This window comes from Homo sapiens, chromosome 1, assembly GCF_000001405.40.
Source record: "Homo sapiens chromosome 1, GRCh38.p14 Primary Assembly".
Lineage (NCBI taxonomy): Eukaryota > Metazoa > Chordata > Mammalia > Primates > Hominidae > Homo > Homo sapiens.
The window spans coordinates 70,268,016-70,284,238 of record NC_000001.11 but is presented as its reverse complement, the minus strand read 5'-3'; the positions used below and the strand labels follow the sequence as shown (position 1 = coordinate 70,284,238).

Below are 16,223 nucleotides of genomic sequence, written 5' to 3'. Positions count from 1 at the left end.
CTTTATTATAAATAAATAGCTTTTGGGTTTCTTCTTGTCCCCCATCCCCAGCCAAAATTTTATTTCAATTTCTGCAAGAAATGGCTTATAGGTAGTATTCAGAAGGAATTATTTGCCATTTGATTACTTTTACTGTGCCTCTTCTGCTTTTTTTTCTCTTCCTTCCCAGATGTGGTTCTAGTATTTAGTATATATTTTTGACAGAATTTTTGATAGCAAAATTTAAGTGCTCAGAAATTCTTAAATCATGGGTACTTGTTCTTGTATTTTTAGCTCCTTGTTGTAACCAGTTATCATTGGAGTAGGGAACAATGCTCCGTTTATACCTTAGAGTCATTGATAAAAGCACTTATACTGTGCCAACTATATGTTCAGAATATTGAGTTAAGCCCTATTCATGATTATGGATTTTTTTTTTCTTTTTTGAGATGGAGTCTCGCTCTTGCTCTGTTGCCCAGGCTGGAGTGCAATGGCGTGATCTCAGCTCACTGCAACCTCCGTCTCCCGGCTCCAAGCAATTCTCCTGCCTCAGCCTCCTGAGTAGCTGGGATTACGGGCACCACACCCGGCTAATTTTTGTATTTTTAGTAGAGACGGGGTTTCATCATGTTGGTCAGGCTGGTCTCGAACTCCTGACCTCAGGATCCACCCGCCTCGACCTCCTAAAGTGCTGGGATTACAGGTGTGAGCCACCGCACCCGGCATGGATTTTTTTTTCTTTATTTAAAAATCTAAAGAGGAATACATAATAAAATACATGAATATCTTAAACTTTCAGAAAGCTTTGCCATATAAAATATTAGAATAATAACAAACCTAGAAATAAAGTATTTCCTATATGCTTCAAGGAAAATAGTCATCAGAAGTTTTACATTTAATTATGAGGGAAAGGCTTGAAGGCATTTCAATTACAGAGCCAATTGATTTGGCAAAATAACTTAAAGAGTTATCTGGTATTGCACCAACCTTTATGTCTTCCTGTTTCATTAGATAGCCATGGCATCAGTATAGAGGAGGCACTGAAGGATTCAGCAAGAAGTGTCAGTATATAATAAAGGACTTTGAATCTATTTGGGATTCCTTGAAAAAAATAAAGGACTAATTTAAACTTAAACTAGAAAGACATTTTTAGAATATGATAATTGATATTTATAATGATGAGATAAAGTGCTCAATAAAAGGTTAAATTACATTGATTACAGTCTTTACTAAGATGGGGAATGTATAATGTACTGTTTAGAAAGAATTTATTTGGAAATGGTAGAAACTTACTTGGAAAAGTTATTACCTGAAAAAATATAATGATGTGACATGCCATGTTATCTAATCATATGACAAATGTGTCTTTACCATGAAAATGTTATATATAATATTTAAAATATTAATAGATAGAGATTTCAGTGGGTATGGGATTAGTCTTTGCTGTGGTTCTAGGTTGGAGCAGCAATCTTAAACGTTTCCAGCGGTTTCCCCTAAAATTAAAGGTTCTATTAAACGCATGTCTCTCTGCTTTCTAGCATATCACTAGATACTATTTTACCTAATGTTTTGCCACAGCATTTGTGAGGGTCATTAACTAGCTTTTAAGCCTCTTCGTCATTCTACTGATAAGCCATTGCTACATGTCATAGTATTATGTATAATCTCCCACTGTAAATTTGGAATTTGGTATTGGTTATGATGTAAGTTTGGCTGCTTATAAGAAATCTCAAAAGAACAGTGACTTAAACAAGATAAAAGATTATTTTTCTCTCATGTAAAAATCTGAGTTTGTGTGGTTTTTCTCTGCTCTGTGGGTTAATCCCAGACAACTTTTTTTCTTTTGTCTTCTCTGCCATTCCTAGGATGTGGCCTTGCATCCACATGGTATAAGATGATTTATATTGCCGGGCGCGGTGTCTCATGTCTGTAATCCCAGCACTTTGGGAGGCTGAGGCGGGCAAATCACGAGGTCAGGAGATCGAGACCAGCCTGGCTAACATGGTGAAACCCCGTCCCTACTAAAAAATACAAAAAATTAGCCGGGCGTGGTGGTGGACACCTGTAGTCCCAGCTAGTCAGGAGGCTGAGGCAGGAGAATGGCATGAACCTGGGAGGCAGAGCTTGCAGTGAGCCGAGATCGCGCTACTACACTCCAGCCTGGGTGACAGAGCGAGACTCCATCTCAAAAAAAAAAAAAAAAAAGATGATATGTACCAGTTTCATATTCCAGCCAGCAGGAATAGTAATTCTTTTTTTTGAGATGGAGTCTCCCTCTGTTGCCCATACTGGAGTGCAGTGGCATGACCTCAGCTCACTGCAACCTCTGCCTCCTGGGTTCAAGCGATTCTCCTGCCTCAGCCTCTTGAGTAGTTAGTAGAGACGGGGTTTCACCATGTTGGCCAGGCTGGTGTCGAACTCCTGACCTCAGGTGATCTGCCCGCCTTGGCCTCCCAAAGTGCTAATTAGAAAGGAGAAGGCATTCCTATTCTGTTTGAGAGCCCATTCTGAAGTTGTACACATCACTCTGCTCACATTCCATTGGTTAGAATTTAACCCGGGCATGGTGACTCATGCCTGTAATCCCAGCACTTTGGGAGGCCAAGGTGGGAGGATTGCTTGAGCTCAGGAGTTCAAGACCAGCCTGGGCAACATAGTGAGACTCTGTCTCTACAAAAAAAAAGTAAAAACAAGCTGAACATGGTGGCATGCATCTGTAGTCCCAGCTCCTCAGGAGGCTGGGGTGGGAGGATCACTTGAGTCCAGGAGGTCATGGCTGCAGTTTGGTGTGATTGAGTTACTGCACTCCAGTGTAGGTGACAGAGCAAGACCCTGTCTCAAAAAAAAAAAAAAAAAAAAAAAAGAATTTAGTCACATGATAACACCTAGCTGCAAGGATTTCTAGAAAAGGAGTCTATTCTAGGAAGTCATGTGCTCATCCAAAAATTTGGAAGAGAGGTTCTTTCACAAAGACTAATGGGAGAACAGATACTGGGGAGACAACTAGCAATCTCTGACATCTCATCAGTGAGTACATAAACACTGGTAACTGTCAACCAGATATATACCTTTAACTCTATTCTTCCGTCATATCACCACATCTATAGTGCTTTTGCCTACCTCTACTTGGATAAACATAGATGTCTAAAATTTAGTGTGTCTAAATCAGATAATGCTTTCTTCCCTCCTTCCTCTTTTCTCTGTCTTAGGTAGTAACACCATTATCTCCTTATTTACCCCAGCTGGCAACCTGAAATTTCTTCTTAGACTTCTTAGCTTTCCTGTTATCTCTATATCTGATCAATCACAAAATCCTAAGGATCTCTTGAGTCTATTTAGTCTATTTTCTGTCCTTCCATTTTTAAACAACATGCCCTTATCATTTCTCATTTGGATTACTGAGATAGCTTCCTAAATACACTGCCACCAGAGTAATCACCCTGAAATAGATTGAATCATGTAATGGCTATGCTCAGTAACTAAAATGTATACAGTACTTGCTATGCGTGAGGCACTATTTTAAGCACTTTACATTTAACAGCCCATTTTTATCATCACAGTAAACCCTCTGAGGTTATATAGTTGACAGAACTGAGGCAAAAGAGGTTGAGTAATTTGTTTGAAGTCAGCTAGTCATTGTCGAAGCCAGAATTGGATCACTCTGGCTCCACAGTTGGTGTTTTAGCTACTATATTGTATTGCTCAAAATATTTGTCCATTGCTTCCTGAGTAAAATGTGATCTACTTCATATGTAAAACCCTTTCAGGCTACTTTTTCTCTTCTGTGTCTGGCCACTTTTCTCTTACTACTAATCTTCATGTATACTACTCATACAACTAGACACACTACACTTGCAATTTCCCAGTATGTCATGCTTTCTCTCACCATTCTGCTTTCCCCAGTTCCTTCAACCAGTTCTTTTGTTCTTTTTTAGACTCCTCAATTCAGGAGTCAACCAGTCCACGTCTTTTGGCTACCCTAGTCTGTCATAAACCTCTTCTGTGCATGTTTATATCATTCTGTAGCCCCTGTCACCCTCAATTATATCATAGCCCCTGTCACCCTCAATTATAAGTATTTACTTTTTGTGTCTCTTGATAAGCTTCTCAAGGAAAGAACATTGTCTTTCATCTTGCCTGATACTAAAAAACTCTGTTTCCTTTCTTTCCACATCCCTCGGCTGCTACTCAGAGATCATCAATGACTTCTAACCAACAAAATTTATGGCTTTTTCAGGCTTCTTTCTCTTCAAAGTCTCTGTAGTGTGATATTGAAACAGTCTTTTCTTTTGGCCTCCATTATACCATAAGGGAAACTAAACTTTACCTCTTCCAAACTTAGTTCTTAGTTGAGATGGACTCTCGTACCAAAAGACAGATTTATAAGGGAAAAGCAAACAAGTTTATTAATGCGTGCCGCACACCACACAAGAAACCCCAAGGAAAAGTAACTCAAGGGCTGATCACAGTGGCTTATGCCTGTAATCCCAGCACTTTGGGAGGCTGAGTTGGGCAGATCACTTGAGGCCAGGAGTTTGAGACCAGCCCAGCCAACATGGTGAAACCCCATCTCTATTAAAAATACAAAAATTAGCTGGGCTTGATGATGCACACCTGTAATCCCAACTCAGGAGGCTGAGGCAGAAATATTGCTTGAACCTGGGAGGCGGAGGTTGCAGTGAACCGAGATTGTGCCACTGCACTCCAGCCTGGGTAACAGAGCAAGACTATGTCTCAAAAAAAAAAAAAAAAAAAAAAAGTAGCTCAAAATAGTGGCTTAGAACTCTACTTATATAGCATCTTCAACAAAGAACAATAAATTTATAGAGAAATGACAGGACAAATGAAAGTGATTTTAGGTTTCCAAGGACAGGAAAGGAGTAAGGTTTGTTTGCAAATTCCTCTGGTGCTGTCACTGGGCTAGTAAGAGTATAGAGTTATCTCCAGTGAAGCAAAATTTATACTCTGTAGTTCGGCAGAAAACGGAGGGTAGAGAAAAAGCTTTTCCTCCATTTACTGCTTCCCTCTCTCTCTCTCTTTTTTAATTTCTTTTGAGACAGAGTCATGTTCTGTCCTGTAGGCCGGAGTGCAGTGGCATGATCTCGGCTCACTGCAGCCTCCATGTCCTGGGCTCAAGGAATCCTCCCACCTTGGCCCTTCAAGTAGCTGGGACCACAGATGTGTGCCACCATGCCTGGCTACTTTTTTTTTTTGTATTTTTTGTAGAGATGGGGTTTTGCCATGCTGCCCAGGCTAGTCTCAAACTCCTGAGCTCAAGGGATCAACCTGCCTTGGCCTCCCAAAGTGCCAGGATTATAGGCATGAGGCACCACACCTGACCTGCACTAAGTTTTTTATATACGTTATCTCCATTAATTTTTAACTATGAGTTAGTGGCCCAATTCCCATTTTGCAAGTGAGTTAAGTTGACATAATAGAAAGTAACTTGCCCAAATTCACACAACTACCAGGTATTGGAGCTGGGATTCTAACTCAATTTTGTGTCTTAGCAATCCTTGATTTTAACAACTCTAATATATGGCTCATTAACATCTTACACTAATTATATGTAAAACCACATTTCTTGAATGAGACCCTCTCAATGTTATTAACATCTTATTATTCATATTAGTCTTTCACTTATTGTCTTTTTGCTCCATAGTCCTGTTAGGTTTTCATTAGCAATTGAAAAAAAATTTTTTTTTAATTTATGAGGTTTTTGTTTTGTTTTGTTTTCTTGAGACATAGAGTCGCTCTGTTTCCCAGGCTGGAGTGCAGTGGTGTGATCTTGGGTCATGGAGTGCAGTGGTGTGATCTCAGGTCACTGCAATCTCTGCCTCCTGGGTTCAGGTGATTCTCCTGCCTCAGCTTCCTGAGTGGCTAGGATTACAGGTGCGAGCCACTACGCCTGGCTAATTTTTGTATTTTTAGTAGAGATGGGGTTTCACCATATAGGCCAGGCTGGTCTTGAACCCCTCACCTCAAGTGATCCACCTGCCTTGACCTCCCGAAGTGCTAGGATTACAGGCATGAGCCACCACGCCTGGCCAGTTCTTTTTTTTTTTTTCTGTGAGGCAGGGTCTTACTTTGTTACCCAGGCTGGAGTGCAGTGGCATAATCATGGCTTACTGCAGCATCAACTTCCTGGTCTCAAGTGATCCTCCCGCCTCAGCTTTTCAAGCAGCTGAGACCACAGGCACGCACCACCACACTCAGCTAATTTTTTTTTTTTTTTTAAGAAACAGAGCCTCATTATGTTGCCTAGGCTGGTCTCAAACTCATGGGCTCAAGTGATTCTCCTGTCTTTGTCTCCCGAAGTATTGGGATTACAGGCATGAGCCACTGCACCTGGCCCAGGAATTTCCAATTTCCTTTTCTGCTCCAGAGTTTAGTTCCTTATTGCCAGTTCATCTTATAGTGATTGAAATTCATATTTAGCAAAGATAGGGTGAAAGTTTTAAAATCTGACCTTTGCGATTTTTACCATCTACTGTTGATCTCCGTTTTGAACTTCCCATCTGAGTTTAAATCAGTCTTCTTGTGTTTTTTACCTTTAATTTTCTCTGTTTTAAAAACACTCTGTTTCATCTTCATTTAAATCTGAAGTCCAATTGCATAGTCTTGATCTTTACCCACAGAAGATTGCTATCTTTTCTCATATATTTTCTATTTTCTATAATCTCATTTGGCCTTTAATAATATGCTCTTTTATATTTCTGGTTAACTGTTCATGTCTGTATTTTTTTTTTCTTTCCAACTGAATTGTAAATTCCTTGAATCAGAGTTTTGTTTTTTTTTTTTTTGAGGTGGAGTCTGCTTCTGTCACCCAGGCTGGAGTGCAGTGGCACGATCTCGGCTCACTGCAACCTCCACCTCCTAGATTCAAGCAATTCTCTGCCTCAGCCTCCTGAGTAGCTGGGATTACAGGCACTCACCATCACGCCCGGATAATTCTTTTGCATTTTTAGTAAAGACGGGGTTTCACCATCTTGGCTAAGCTGATCTTGAACTCCTGACCTCGTGATCCACCCGCCTTGGCCTCCCAAAGTGCTGGGATTACCGGCATGAGCCACTATGCCTGGCCCAGAGTTAGTTTTTACACTTCTCTGTAGTTCCATGTTCAGCAGCTAGTATAATGACAGGAACATTTTAGATGATTGAAGCATTGACTGAATGGGTGTTATTATTTTGATATTTGTCTTTTTGGGATTTAAAAAAAAATTGATAATAAATATTACCAATAGAGCTTAAACCACCATGGAACGATCTTGGAAGGAACCTTTTCAAGTATTATATTGAAGAGATTAAGTAGATTGTTAGTTTTAATAGTTTACGATGTATTTTAATCTTATATTTAAAAAATAACATCTTTCTTTCTCCCCCACCCCACTTTCTTTCTTTTTTTTTTTTGGCAGCCGATTCGAAGACAGTCTCTTACACCTCCTCCTCAGAACACTATTACATGGGAAGAATATATATCTGCTGAAAATGGAAAGTAAGTTTTTTTCTTGTTTATGTGTTATTTGGTTTTTAGAAAGAATAATTTGTAAAAACTGAATATGTGAATATTTTGGCGTAAATTATTTTGGAGAGAATTATTGGTATATTTTTGACTGAAGCAATTCTTCTACCTTTTAAAAATATGGATTAAATATGATAAGGGCAAAGTGTCCCAAATTATGTACCCTCTTTGCAAATGGTTGTAGATCTTTCTGTATCCATCCTGTCAATTTATACACACCTAAAAAACTAAAAGACACTGTTCTAAGGAAATATGATATAGGAAATTGCGCAGGACAGTTGCTTATTTGAGATTTCCCATTGTATGATGAGCTTTTCTATTTTGTGATTATCCTGATTTTTTAGCATAGTGTGCAAGCCCATTCATTATTTATCTTCTTTTTGCCTTTCCAAGCTCCTCACCTGTCATTATCCTTTAGTTTCAACCTATGCTAGACTACTTCTCACTGTCCTTCCATAGGACCTTTGCTGATGTAATATTACTAACAGTAGAGTGCCTACCACATAGCTCATACTCAGTTTATATTTATTGACTAAAAGAATGATGAATGAATAAAGAAAGGGTTTATTTTTAATAAATAGATAAGTAAAAAGTGTATCCTGGCCAACCATTATTTCCTTTTGGTGGAGAATAAAATATAAAATATTGCTTTCCTGCTCCTGTTTAGGAAGAAGTTGTCATTTTTTTTTCTTATTGAAAGTTTTGTTATATTTTTCTGAATTCTCCAAGATGTTTCCATCTTAATATTTTTATAGTTTTTTTTTTTTTTTTTTTTTGAGATGGAGTCTTGCTCTGTCGCCCAGGCTGGAGTGCAGTGGGCGTGATCTCAGCTCACTGCAACCTCCGCCTCCCAGGTTCAAGCCATTTTCTCACCTCAGCCTCTCGAGTGGCTGGGAATACAGGTGCGCTCCACCATGCCCAGCTAATTTTTGTATTTTTAGTAGAGACAGGGTTTCACCATATTGGCCAGGCTGGTCTCAAACTCATGGGCTCAAATGATCCACCTGCCTCGGCCTCCCAAATGCTGGGATTACAGCTATGAGCCACTGCGCCTGACCTTAATATTTTATGGTGCTAAACAAAATTTATGAGGGTATTATTGTATTAGATTAGCCTCCTGCATGCACTAGGCACCAGCAGACCATACCAAACCAGAATGTAGTTACTTCTGCTAAGTACTACATAATTAAACTGAACTTTGAAATGGGCCAGTTTAAAATGAAAAAAAAAAAAGGACATTCCAGGCAACCTGAGTCAACATAGTAACTAAGTCTTCTGTTTTTTTAACTGTATAAGGAAAGCAACTTTGAAATAACCAGATCACCTTTTTTCCCCACCGTTTCCACTTCAGCCTTTTCAGTCTATAAAGATAACCTCCTCTTTTCAGCTTATTGGAACGCTCATTCTATTTTACAGAATTAGGTATTGTCCTGTGCTAGAGTTGCAAATAAAAGCCAATTAGATCTTTATGCTACATTGATAATTTTCTTTTGATAATAGTTAATATAGAATTCCTTATTCTTCACAATATTTCTTATTGATCAATGCAGAGGCTGTAATAGACAGTAAAGAAGATTGAATTGAATAAGTGACTTTAAAGATATACAATAATACCTTAAAAATTTTTTTACTAATGATTTTCTTTATTCCTAAAAATAGTGGTTATTAAAATTATATTCAATGTGAAATTAGTTTAGATCTAATAATTTCTGAACTTTTACTCTTTGCTATTCTTTTTTATTGCCCTTGTCTTAATTTCTTATACATATCTTATTCCCTTTTAGCATAACTTTATTTCTGTAGACAGAGTAAGAAAAATTGAAATATTAATGAATGTCATTGAAAGATGACAGATGCTTCTTAGGAAGGTGATAGACTATGGAAAAAGTTTCCTAACATTTTTTTTCCTCCCATTTTAGAGCTCCTCATCTGGGTAGAGAATTGGTGTGCAAAGAGAGTAAGAAAACGTTTAAAGCTACGATAGCCATGAGCCAGGAATTTCCCTTAGGGATAGAGTTGTAAGTTTGTTACTAACTACAAATGTTTATGAAAGAAACTATTAAACCCTAAAGGCTGTAATAATATTTGCACCCCAGTGGTGCATTTGAGACCTTTGAAATGAAAAGCAAATAGCCATTGCCTTGATAGTGTGTGCACTGTTCTAGAACTTTTCTGGTTCGCAAAAGTATTGATTTTTACTACTTTCACCAGATAAATTTTTGAGTAGATTTTCTTTCTTTCTTTTTTTTTTTTTTTTTTTTTTTGAGATGGAGTCTTGCTCTGTCACCCAGGCTGGAGTGCAGTGGCGCGATCTTGGCTCACCACAACCTCCACCTCCCAGGTTCAAGCAATTCTCCTGCCTCAGCCTCCTGAGTAGCTGGGATTATAGGTGCCCACCACCACGCCCGGCTAATTTTTGTATTTTTAGTAGAGATGAGGTTTCGCCATGTTGGCCAGGCTGGCATCAAACTCCTGACCTCAGGTGATCCACCCACCTCAGCCTCCCAAAGTGCTGGGATTACAGGCGTGAGCCACCACGCCCAGCCGAGTAGGTTTTTAAATTATAAAAAGTAATACGTGAATACATGCTTGTTTTAAAAAAATCCAAAAGTATGGAAATTTACAGAATAAAATGTGTTATTTTAACACATCAATAGTTAATGACTATTGTATTTTTGTCTAGAGTTATCCGTGTTTTTGCATTTTTTAAAATAAAAATGGGGGAATGGTTCACGTTTTCTTCTGTGTGTTCCTTGTTTTCATTTAAAAGTGAGTGTGTCTTGGCTGGGCGTGGTGGCTCATGCCTGTAATCCCAGTACTTTGGGAGGCCAAGGTGGGCGGATCATCTGAGGTCAGGAGTTTGAGATCTGCCTGGCCAACGTGGTGAAACCCTATCTCTACTAAAAATACAAAAACTAGCTGGGCATATGGCATGTGCCTCTAATCCCAGCAACTAGGGAGGCTGAGGCAGGAGAATCGCTTGAACCAAGGAGGCAGAGGTTGCAGTGAGTCAAGATCGTGCCACTGCACTCCAGCCTGGAGAGTCCGTCTCAAAAAAAAAAAGAAAAAAGAAAAAATGAGTGTGTCTTGAAGTTTTACAGTGATTATATTTTCGTCTATTCTTTTTCCTTGTTATTTTGTAGTGTTGATATACTGTTGTTTATCATTCATCTACTGATAAACATTTTGATTATTTGTAGTTTGTCACCATTTTCAACAATATTGTGGTAAACATATTGAATATATCCTCTCCAACATGTACTCATTGGATGCTCCTTTTTAAAAATACTCTATTTGGAGAGATGGCTGGAATGAGAGATGGGTAGCAAGAGCTGACTGATACAACTATAGTTTTAGGCTCCTCACTAAAGTGGGAGGGAGGAGATGAAGCACTGGGCGATTTTCTCTTACTAGTTCCTTCCCTTTCAAATCTGGCCTAATGCATTAATTTTTTTTAACGGCCTAATACATTTTTTAAAAATGATCGGAGAAGAGAGCAGGGTGCATATATTTTTAAAAAGTACATACATACCTGAGCTTTACCCATATCTAGGCTTTAGATAAGTAGATAGATTGTTCTATACAGCCCTCAAGTTATGTCAGAGAGAGATAAGTCTCAGAAAATGTGGAGAGTTAGCCACACCTACACATCTGCCAAAATTTGTCATATCTAGGACCCAGTTGACTCGATGCACCAATTTTATTTTATTATTTTATTTATTTATTTATTTATTTATTTATTTATTTTTTGAGACAGAGTCTCACTCTGTTGCCAAGGCTGGAGTGCAGTGGCACAATCTCGGCTCACTGCAACCTCTGCCTCCCAGGTTCAAGTGATCCTCCCAACTCAGCCTGACAACTAGCTGGGACTACAGGCATGTGCTACCACGCCTGGATAATTTCTGTATTTTTAGTAGAGATGGGGTTCACCATGTTGGCCAGGCTGGTCTCAAACTCCTGACCTCAGGTGATCTGTCCACCTGGGCCTCTTAAAGTGCTGGGATTACAGATGTGAGCCACCACACCTGGCCAAAGATTCACCAATTTTATATTCTACTTGCTAATAAAGAAGAAAACTGCAGCTAATATTAAGACGTCATCAATTTTAGGAGTTATCCTAATTTCAGATATGTTACATGAAAAAAAAAAAGAATATCTTAGAATTTATAAAATGTGGCAGTTATAACCACTACTCTTGAAAAAGAAAATGAAATAAGGAGCCGGACATGGTGGTGCACACCTGTTATCCTGGCAGTTTGGGAGGCTGAGGCGGGTGGATCACCTGAGGTTGGGAGTTTGAGACCAGCCTGACCAACATGGAGAAACCCCGTCTCTATTAAAAATACAAAATTGGCCGGGTGTGGTGGTGCATACCTGTAATCCCAGCTACTCGGGAGGCTGAGACAATCACTTGAACCCGGGAGGCGGAGTTTGCGTTGAGCCGACATCACGCCATTGCACTCCAGCCTGGGCAACAAGAGCGAAACTCCATCTCAAAAAAAAAAAGAAATAGAGAACACAGCATACAAATGCCAGACAAATAATTTGTTCTAAAAGTTCAGAAAAAAAAAAAAGAAAATTACCTATAAATGCCATAGAAAACAAGAAAGAACATGAAATCAGTAAAGCAGATCTTTCTGAGATGAGAATATAAGACAGTAAAATGAAATGAAAAGGAGATTGTAAAGCTGAGGAAATAAATTGAGCACTAAATGGCACTATTACAAAACAAATACAGTAGAAACAATAATGAACAGAATCGATGTAACTGAAAATTAAATTTTGACAACTCTTGGTGAATTCAGTAGAAGAGATTAAAGAAATTACATGAGCAATAGATATGGAGGACAAAAATGGTTCAATATGAGTCATTCATGTTTTACTTAAAAGGCGTCCAAGTATAACCAAAATAATATTCAAAATATGATAGAAGAAAATTTCTCTGTAATGAAGAACTAAATCTATAGGATGACATTAGGTTCCACGAAAAATTGGTACAGAATGATTAGTAACAAAAATTATCCTGATCAAACTATTGGGCTTCAGTTGTTGATAAATCCAAAGGCATCCGGGCAGAAAAGGGATAAAATCAGCCTGGCCTTCCATTTTTTCATATGTCTTTACTTATCTGAAGTAACAAAAGTGTGATCTGTCAGTATTTCTAACTTTAATTTATGTATGGAGGCAACTGAAGATATTCTCAAGCACAAAAGAATTCAAGAAACGTAGCAGTCGTAGGACTTTTTTCAAAGAAAAATGCTACTACTTAAAAAAGAAATCCATCCAACCAAAAGATGAAAGAAATTATAGCATAATGACTAATATGATATAGAATGCTAAGAGATATTATGAAATTGTAGTTCAGAAGGAAAGACAGTATAACCTGAAATTTTATGTGAGTCAAGTTTCCCTTTAAAGATAAGAAGCAATCATTTATCAAATATGCAGGAAATCAAGGAATATTAAGCACATAAGAGCCTTTTACACACACAATAAATTGACAGTGGAAATCAGCCACCCAAACAGTGAATCTAGTTACTAGCTTTGAGTCCATCTAAATATGGACCTAAAATCAAACAATTGTGAAAATTATGGCTGCACAATCAAAAGTTGTAAACCATTATAGAGTAAAAAGTTAGGAGGAATAAAGTCTGTAATTTACTCATCCTTAGTATCTGGAAGTCAATACTACTGTCCAGGTTTGAAGCATGTAGTTGAAAAGCATAAGGACACAAGGCAATTTGAACAATGAAAACATTTTTTTCTTCTTCCATTTTTCAGATTATTGAATGTTTTAGAAGTAGTAGCTCCCTTCAAGCACTTTAACAAGCTTAGAGAATTTGTTCAGATGAAGCTTCCTCCAGGCTTTCCTGTAAAATTAGGTAAGAGAAAAAATTAGATATAATTTTAGTGTCCATTAGGAATATGGAGCTGTTTATTAACATTTAATAAGCAATTTCTTTTAAAGCAGGGGTCCCCAACACCTCTGTTGGTTCGTGACCTTTTAGGAGTGGGGTGCACAGCAGGAGATGAGCTGAGCGGCAGGCTAGTGAGCATTGCCGCCTGAGCTCTGCCTCCTGTCAGATCAGTGGTGGCATTAGATTCTTGTAGGAACATGAACCCTATTGTGAACTTCACATGTGAGGGATCTAGGTTGCACGCTCCTTATGAAATCTAATGCCTGATCTGAGATGGAACAGTTTCATTCCAAAGCCCTCCCCAGTCCCCACCAGTCTGTGGAAAAATTATCTTTCACGAAACAGATCCCTCGTGCCAAAAAGGTTGGGGGCTGCTGTTTTAAAGGAAAATAGATTTCCTAGTTGCTTACATTTTCGTAAAGTTTTTCAGTAATTATATGCATTTATTTATGTTTTGTCAAATATTTAAAGTGCCTGATGAGAATTCTTATTCTACTTGATTTAAATTAAATGTAAGGGATCTATTTCACACAAGAAAAGTGTGGGTAAACTAATGATGTATTGTAATAATGTTTTTCATGTGAAATAGGGAGACTAGAGATTAGCCCAGATTTTCAGCTATGCTTTCAGTTTCTGTGTAGTGAGAATGTTTCTGGAGTAAGCAGTTACTGTTGATGGATAAAGTAATACTCATACGTTTTATTTTTCAGCCCTAAATGTTTAATTTCATCTTAAGCAATGATCTTTAGAAATAGTACACTCATTTTTGCATATAGTTTTCTTTCTAACATATCAGAAACCAAGGAAGAAGACACTATTAAAAGGTGTTTTGGGTGTTTAGATTTAGATTTAGCATTAATTCAAGCTTCAGGAGCTCCTTTAACACTATCCATCAATTCAACCACTCAGTATTTAATGAGTGCTGTAATTCTTCAGATGTATCTTGTTTTATCCAATATTTTTAAAACCACATCTCAGAATACTTAGGCCAAAATGTTTTCATTGCTAAAAATTAAACCTGATCTTCACAATTTTGCACACTTGGAAATAAACATTTTCTAGATGAAAAATGACTTTTTTTTTTTTTTTTGAAAAATGACTTTTAAATAAGTGATTTTCAAAATGTCACTCTAGTTGCCCTTTGCAATTCAAAAGCACTAGGAACCCAGTGTCTACTTGGAGAAATCAGTGATAAGATCTTAGGCAGAAATGGTTAGAAAACTAATGCAATTCAGAGCTGTGTGCCATAGCCATAAGGGATCTTTGTGTTCGCATTTCTGCAGAAGTTTAAAACTCCACTGCCATTTTCTATGGTGAGGGAAATATTTCGAGTTTTAGACTCCCTTCTAGGTACTGTTAAGAGACCCATGACAAACCAGAATAGAGAACAGGAGTTAAACAGTTGAGAATTTCAAACTATCTCTGTATTCACATCTATTTTTAAGTTCTAAACAAACCCAAATCAAACCCCACAATACATTTATTTTTATGCAAAGGAAATATTTTCATTATATGAGAAGAAAAAAGTCTGCAGTCCTTTTTTTGCAGGCATTTCTCTGATGTAGAACCACATTTTTAACAAGGAATAATATTTTGCTTGTATACTTAAAGTTATGGGGTATTTGTTTAACTATTTCTCTTTTGTTTCTCTGTCCTTCTTTTGAACCAACCCTGTAAAACTTCCTCCTGTGTATGTTTACTCTTTCACCGTTTCTTTTTCTACATTTAGGATAAAAAACACAACTGGGATAAATTATAAAAATTTGGAAATTAGGGGGGAGGGGGGAGGGATAGCATTGGGAGATATACCTAATGCTAGATGACGAGTTAGTGGGTGCAGCGCACCAGCATGGCACATGTATACATATGTAACTAACCTGCACATTGTGCACATGTACCCTAAAACTTAAAGTATAATAATAATTTTAAAAAAAAACTAAAAAATCAAAAAAAAATTTTGGAAATTATTGTTAACACAATTACATGTTTTCAGAATCAGCCAGAGCTTTAAGTGCTGATTATGAATGGTCTTTTCTCTGATTGGCTTCTTCTCTCATTTTGCTCAAAGACTAAATTTGACCCTCTTTCATCATCAAATCTTCATCCTCCCCCACCACTTTCTCCTACAACCTAAGCGCAGATGATTTTTACTTCCTTTGATACAAAAAGAGAATATCAGAAATGGGACCTCCCTCACTACTTCCAACACCCCATACAGATTTTTCTGCCCCAAGCCCAACCTTTTCTTTCATCTTCCTATCTCACTGGAAGTGGCGCCCCTCTTCTTAGCTTGAGTAATGTCTTCATTTGTATTATGGATCTATTCTCCTCCTAGCTCTTTTTAAAAGCTAGCTGTATCGCCGGGCACAGTGGCTGACGCCTGTAATCCCAGCACTTTGGGAGGCCAAGGCAGGTGGATCACTTGAGGTCAGGAGTTCGAGACCAGCCTGGCCAACTTGGTGAAACTCTGTCTCTACTAAAAATTAGCCAGGTGTGGTGGCGGGTACCTGTAATCCCAGCTACTCAGGAGGCTGAGGCAGGAAAATCACTTGAACCCAGGAGGCAGAGGTTACAGTGAGCCAAGATCACGCCATTGCACTCCAGCCTGGGCAACAAGAGCAAGACTCTGTCTCAAGGTGGGGGCGGGGAAGCTAGCTGTATGAGTGACTTCATATTTCTCGTTTTCCTTCTACCTGTCTGTACTGCATTTTTCCTCTCAGTTGTTAGGCTTGCTCAGGTCTCTCCCCTTTTAAAATCAAACAAAAAACAACAACAACAACAAAAAAGCACCTGTAATTCCACCA

The 16,223-nt window shown here is 38.2% G+C and overlaps 1 protein-coding gene across 9 annotated transcripts in view; it reads left to right on the top strand.

The window, feature by feature from the left end:
• Positions 1 to 16,223, top strand: part of ANKRD13C (ankyrin repeat domain 13C) — a 95,724-nt gene that overhangs the window by 70,484 nt on the left and 9,017 nt on the right. For 5 of the 9 annotated variants that reach the window (XM_047431276.1, NM_030816.5, XM_047431283.1 and 2 more), the window contains 3 exons: positions 7,395 to 7,474; positions 9,421 to 9,519; positions 13,283 to 13,383. In XM_047431276.1, coding sequence (XP_047287232.1) covers positions 7,395 to 7,474; positions 9,421 to 9,519; positions 13,283 to 13,383 — 280 coding nt within the window. The remainder of the gene's footprint in view (positions 1 to 7,394; positions 7,475 to 9,420; positions 9,520 to 13,282; positions 13,384 to 16,223) is intronic. The other 4 variants (XM_047431278.1, XM_005271234.4, XM_047431282.1 and 1 more) reach the window with 2 other exon arrangements.